Source organism: Homo sapiens, chromosome 7 (assembly GCF_000001405.40).
Source record: "Homo sapiens chromosome 7, GRCh38.p14 Primary Assembly".
NCBI lineage: Eukaryota > Metazoa > Chordata > Mammalia > Primates > Hominidae > Homo > Homo sapiens.
This window is the reverse complement of record NC_000007.14, coordinates 123893203-123899977: the sequence shown is the minus strand read 5'-3', so window position 1 is coordinate 123899977 and position 6775 is coordinate 123893203. Positions and strand designations below refer to the sequence as shown.

The 6775-nt window shown below is 40.7% G+C and overlaps 1 annotated feature.

Moving 5' to 3' along the window:
• Window positions 4818-6017: an enhancer, noted in NCBI's record as "CDK7 strongly-dependent group 2 enhancer chr7:123534015-123535214 (GRCh37/hg19 assembly coordinates)". NCBI's record gives its function as "activates an origin of replication core promoter dependent on BRD2, BRD4, P300/CBP, MED14 and CDK7 cofactors, with strong dependence on CDK7, by STARR-seq in HCT116 cells {active_cell/tissue: HCT116}" and the evidence as "EXISTENCE:reporter gene assay evidence [ECO:0000049][PMID:35650434]".

The window sequence follows — 6775 nt, the reverse complement described above, 5'->3', positions numbered from 1 at the left end:
GACTTTTTAAGGATTGCCATTCTAACTGATATGAGATGGTATCTCATTGTGGTTTTGATTTGCATTTCTCTGATGGCCAGAGATGGTGAGCATTTTTTCATGTGTTTTTTGGCTGCATAAATGTCTTCTTTTGGGAAGGGTCTGTTCACGTCCTTCGCCCACTTTTTGATGGGGTTATTTGTTTTTTTCTTGTAAATTTGTTTGAGTTCATTGTAGATTCTGCATATTAGCCCTTTGTCAGATGAGTAGGTTGCAAAAATTTTCTCCCATTTTGTGGGTTGCCTGTTCACTCTGATGGTAGTTTCTTTTGCTGTGCAGAAGCTCTTTAGTTTAATTAGATCCCATTTGTCAATTTTGGCTTTTGTTGCCATTGCTTTTGGTGTTTTAGACATGAAGTCCTTGCCCGTGCCTATGTCCTGAATGGTAATGCCTAGGTTTTCTTGTAGGGTTTTTATGGTTTTAGGTCTAATGTTTAAGTATTTAATCCATCTTGAGTTGATTTTTGTATAAGGTGTAAGTAAGGGATCCAGTTTCAACTTTCTACATATGGCTAGCCAGTTTTCCCAACACCATTTATTAAATAGGGAATCCTTTCCCCATTGCTTGTTTTTCTCAGGTTTGTCAAAGATCAGATAGTTGTAGATATGTGGCATTATTTCTGAGGGCTCTGTTCTGTTCCACTGGTCTATATCTCTGTTTTGGTACCAGTACCATGCTGTTTTGGTTACTGTAGCCTTGTAGTATAGTTTGAAGTCAGGTAGCATGATGCCTCCAGCTTTGTTCTTTTGGCTTAGGATTTACTTGGCGATGCGGGCTCTTTTTTGGTTCCATATGAACTTTAAAGTAGTTTTTTCCAATTCTGTGAAGAAAGTCATTGGTAGCTTGATGGGGATGGCATTGAATCTATAAATTACCTTGAGCAGTATGGCCATTTTCACGATATTCATTCTTCCTACCCATGAGCATGGAATGTTCTTCCATTTCTTTGTATCCTCTTTTATTTCATTGAGCAGTGGTTTGTAGTTCTCCTTGAAGAGGTCCTTCATGTCCCTTGTAAGGTAGATTCCTAGGTATTTTATTCTCTTTGAAGCAATTGTGAATGGGAGATCACTCATGATTTGGCTCTCTGTTTGTCTGTTATTGGTGTATAAGAATGCTTGTGATTTTTGTACATTGATTTTGTATCCTGAGACTTTGCTGAAGTTGCTTATCAGCTTAAGGAGATTTTGGGCTGAGACAATGGGGTTTTCTAGATATACAATCATGTGGTCTGCAAACAGGGACAGTTTGACTTCCTCTTTTCCTAATTGAATACTCTTTATTTCCTTCTCCTGCCTAATTGCCCTGGCCAGAACTTCCAACACTACGTTGAATAGGAGTGGTGACAGAGGGCATCCCTGTCTTGTGCCAGTTTTCAAAGGGAATGCTTCCAGTTTTGGCCCATTCAGTATGATATTGGCTGTGGGTTTGTCATAGATAGCTCTTATTATTTTGAGATACGTCCCATCAATACCTAATTTATTAAGAGTTTTTAGCATGAAGGGTTATTGAATTTTGTCAAAGGCCTTTTCTGCATCTATTGCGATAACCATGTGGTTTTTGTCTTTGGTTCTGTTTATATGCTGGATTACATTTATTGATTTGCATATATTGAACCAGCCTTGCATCCCAGGGATGAAGCCCACTCGATCATGGTGGATAAGCTTTTTGATGTGCTGCTGGATTCGGTCTGCCAGTATTTTATTGAGGATTTTTGCATCTATGTTCATCAAGGATATTGGTCTAAAATTCTCTTTTTTGGTCGTGTCTCTGCCCGGCTTTGGTATCAGGATGATGCTGGCCTCATAAAATGAGTTAGGGAGGATTCCCTCTTTTTCTATTGATTGGAATAGTTTCAGAAGGAATGGTACCAGTTCCTCCTTGTACCTCTGGTAGAATTCGGCTGTGAATCCATCTGGTCCTGGACTCTTTTTGGTTGGTAAGCTATTGATTATTGCCACAATTTCAGCTCCTGTTATTGGTCTATTCAGAGATTCAACTTCTTCCTGGTTTAGTCTTGGGAGAGTGTATGTGTTGAGGAATTTATCCATTTCTTCTAGATTTTCTAGTTTATTTGCGTAGAGGTGTTTGTAGTATTCTCTCATGGTAGTTTGTATTTCTGTGGGATCGGTGGTGATATCCCCTTTATCATTTTTTATTGCGTCTATTTGATTCTTCTCTCTATTTTTCTTTATTAGTCTTCTTAGTGGTCTATCAATTTTGTTGATCCTTTCAAAAAACCAGCTCCTGGATTCACTAATTTTTTGAAGGGTTTTTCGTGTCTCTATTTCCTTCAGTTCTGCTCTGATTTTAGTTATTTCTTGCCTTCTGCTAGCTTTTGAATGTGTTTGCTCTTGCTTTTCTAGTTCTTTTAATTGTGATGTTAGGGTGTCAATTTTGGATCTTCCCTGCTTTCTCTTGTGGGCATTTAGTGCTATAAATTTCCCTCTACACACTGCTTTGAATGTGTCCCAGAGATTCTGGTATGTTGTGTCTTTGTTCTCGGTGGTTTCAAAGAACATCTTTATTTCTGCCTTCATTTCATTATGTATCCAGTAGTCATTCAGGAGCAGGTTGTTCAGTTTCCATGTAGTTGAGCGGTTTTGAGTGAGTTTCTTAATCCTGAGTTCTAGTTTGATTGCACTGTGGTCTGAGAGATAGTTTGTTATAATTTCTGTTCTTTTACATTTGCTGAGGAGAGCTTTACTTCCAACTACGGGGTCAATTTTGGAATAGGTGTGGTGTGTTGCTGAAAAAAATGTATATTCTGCTGATTTGGGAGAGTTCTTTAGATGTCTATTAGGTCCACTTGGTGCAGAGCTGAGTTCAATTCCTGGGTATCCTTGTTGACTTTCTGTCTCATTGATCTGTCTAATGCTGACAGTGCGGTGTGAAAGTTTCCCATTATTAATGTGTGGGAATCTAAGTCTCTTTGTAAGTCACTCAGGACTTGCTTTATGAATCTCGGTGCTCCTGTATTGGTTGCATATATATTTAGGATAGTTAGCTCTTCTTGTTGAATTGATCCCTTTACCATTATGTAATGGCCTTCTTTGTCTCTTTTGATCTTTGTTGGTTTAAAGTCTGTTTTATCAGAGACTAGGATTGCAACCCCTGCCTTTTTTTGTTTTCCATTTGCTTGGTAGATCTTCCTCCATCCTTTTATTTTGAGCCTATGTGTGTCTCTGCATGTGAGATGGGTTTCCTGAATACAACACACTGATGGGTCTTGACTCTTTATACAGTTTGCCAGTCTGTGTCTTTTAATTGGAGAATTTAGTCCATTTACATTTAAGGTTAATATTGTTATGTGTGAATTTGAACCTGTCATTATGATGTTAGCTGGATATTTTGCTCGTTAGTTGATGCAGTTTCTTCCTAGTCTCGATGGTCTTTACATTTTGGCATGATTTTGCAGCGGCTGGTACCGGTTGTTCCTTTCCATGTTTAACGCTTCCTTCAGGAGCTCTTTTAGGGCAGGCCTGGTGGTGACAAAATCTCTCAGCATTTGCTTGTCTGTAAAGGATTTTATTTCTCCTTCACTTATGAAGCTTAGTTTGGCTGGATATGAAATTCTGGGTTGCAAATTCTTTTCTTTAAGAATGTTGAATATTGGCCCCCACTCTCTTCTGGCTTGTAGAGTTTCTGCTGAGACATCAGCTGTTAGTCTGATGGGCTTCCCTTTGAGGGTAACCTGACCTTTCTCTCTGGCTGCCCTTAACATTTTTTCCTTCGTTTCAACTTTGGTGAATCTGACAATTATGTGTCTTGGAGTTGCTCTTCTCAAGGAGTATCTTTGTGGCGTTCTCTCTATTTCCTGAATCTGAATGTTGGCCTGCCTTGCTAGATTGGGGAAGTTCTGGGTAATATCCTGCAGAGTGTTTTCCAACTTGGTTCCATTCTCCCCGTCACTTTCAGGTACACCAATCAGATGTAGATTTGGTCTTTTCACATAGTCCCATATTTCTTGGAGGCTTTGTTCATTTCTTTTTATTCTTTTTTCTCTAAACTTCCCTTCTCGCTTCATTTCATTCATTTCACCTTCCATCGCTGATACCCTTTCTTCCAGTTGATCACATCGGCTCCTGAGGCTTCTGCATTCTTCATGTAGTTCTCGAGCCTTGGCTTTCAGCTCCATCAGCTCCTTTAAGCACTTCTCTGTATTGGTTATTCTAGTTATACATTCGTCTAAATTTTTTTCAAAGTTTTTAACTTCTTTGCCTTTGGTTTGAATTTCCTCTGGTAGCTCGTAGTTTGATCATCTGAAGCCTTCTTCTCTCAATTCGTCAAAGTCATTCTCTGTCCAGCTTTGTTCCATTGCTGGTGAGGAACTGCAATCCTTTGGAGGAGGAGAGGTGCTCTGCTTTTTAGAGTTTCCAGTTTTTCTGCTCTGTTTTTTCCCCATCTTTGTGGTTTTATCTACTTTTGATCTTTGATGATGGTGATGTACAGATGGGTTTTTGGTGTGGATGTCCTTTCTGTTTGTTAGTTTTCCTTTTAACAGACGGGACCCTCAGCTGCAGGTCTGTTGGAGTTTGCTAGAGGTCCACTCCGGACCCTGTTTGCCTGGGTATCAGCGGCGGTGTCTGCAGAACAGTGGTTTTTTCGTGAACTGCGAATGCTGCTGTCTGATCGTTCCTCTGGAAGTTTTGTCTCAGAGGAGTACCCGCCCGTGTGAGGTATCAGTCTGCCCCTACTGGGGGGTGCCTCCCAGTTAGGCTGCTCAGGGGTCAGGGGTCAGGGACCCACTTGAGGAGGCAGTCTGCCCATTCTCAGATCTCCAGCTGAGTGCTGGGAGCACCACTGCTCTCTTCAAAGCTGTCAGACAGGGACATTTAAGTCTGCAGCGGTTACTGCTGTCTTTTTGTTTGTCTGTGCCCTGCCCCCAGAGGTGGAGCCTATAAAGGCAGGCAGGCCTTCTTGAGCTGTGGTGGGCTCCACCCAGTTGGAGCTTCCCAGCTGCTTTGTTTACCTAAGCAAGGCTAGGCAATGGCGGGCACCCCTCCCCCAGCCTCACTGCCGCCTTGCAGTTTGATCTCAGATTGCTGTGCTAGCAATCAGTGAGACTCCATGGGTGTAGGACCCTCCGAGCCAGGTGCAGGATATAATCTCCTGGTGCGCCGTTTTTTAAGCCTGTCGGAAAAGCGCAGTATTCGGGTGGGAGTGATCCGATTTTCCAGGTGCTGTCTGTCACCCCTTTCTTTGACTAGGAAAGGGAACTCCCTGACCTTTTGCACTTCCTGAGTGAGGCAATGCCTCGCCCTGCTTCGGCTCACACACGGTGCGCTGCACCCACTGACCTGCACCCACTGTCTGGCACTCCCTAGTGAGATGAACCGGGTACCTCAGATGGAAATGCAGAAATCACCCGTCTTCTGCATCCCTCATGCTGGGTGCTGTAGACCGGAGCTGTTCCTATTCCGCCATCTTGGCTCCTCCCCCCAACCACTTTTCTTAGAAGAATCAAAGTAAGATAGTAATTTCCTGTGGATTACAAAAGACCTAGTATAGCCATGGTTAAAGATACAATTGGCAAATAAATTTGGTTACTTTTTCTGTGATCTACAGTAATTTAACATAGTAATCATAATTATGACTGATAATACATACCAAGACATATCAGACTTTTTAGATATCTTATAATTTAGAGCACATATTAATAACATCCACTCAAGAAAAGGTTAAATGTCTTTTCTTATTTGACAATGTCTCTCATATGCAACAAGTAAACCTAATATGTCTCTCTTGGACTTCCAGGGTATATTACTCCATTCTCACACTGCTACAAAGAAATACTAGAGACTGGGTAATTTATAAAGGAAAGAGGTTTAATTGACTTACAGTTCCACATTGCTGGGCAGGCCTCAGGAAATTTATAATCATGGCAGAAGGGAAAGGAGAAGCAGGCATCTTCTTCACAGTGTGGCAGGATGGAGTGAGTGCAAGCAGAGGAAATGCCAGATCCTTATAAAACCATCAGATCTCATGAGACTTACTCATTCTCACAACAACAGCATTCGGGAAGCTGCCCCCATGATCGAATTACCTCCACCTTGTCTTGACCTTGAAACATGGGGATTATGAGGATTACAATTCAAGGTGAGATTTAGGTGGAGACACAGAGCCAAACCATATCATGGGGTCTCTTTTTGAAATGTTCAAAAGTTGGCTCAAGGTCAAAAAGACTTAATTTAGAATTTGAAATATGAGTTTGAGAAGCTTGTCAAATATAAAAAGTTTAATAAACTTGATGAAAAATAGGATTGCAGGTCACTGTAAAATAAGTCATTTATTTAGCTAAAGTGATAATTAAACATTTTCAAAAAACAAAAAGACAAAATAAAACAAACAAAAAAACTTTACTCATTGATAGGGAGGTATATTAGTCCATTCTCATGCTACTAATAAAGACATATTAGCTAATTTGGCTAATTTATTAATTAGCCAAGTATAATTTACATACTTTACAAGTTATATAACTCAATACTGGCTAATTTATAAAGGAAAAAGGTTTAATTGACTCACAGTTCAGCATGGCTGGGGAGGCTTCTGGAAACTTAAAATCATGGTGGAAAGGGAAGCAAACGTCCTTTTTCACATGGCTGCAGGAAGGAGAAGTGCTGAACAAAGGAGAGAAAAAACCCTTATAAAACCATCAGCTGTCATGAGAACTCACTTGCTATCACTAGAATAGCATGGGGGTAACCCACCTCATGATTCAATTACTTACCACCAG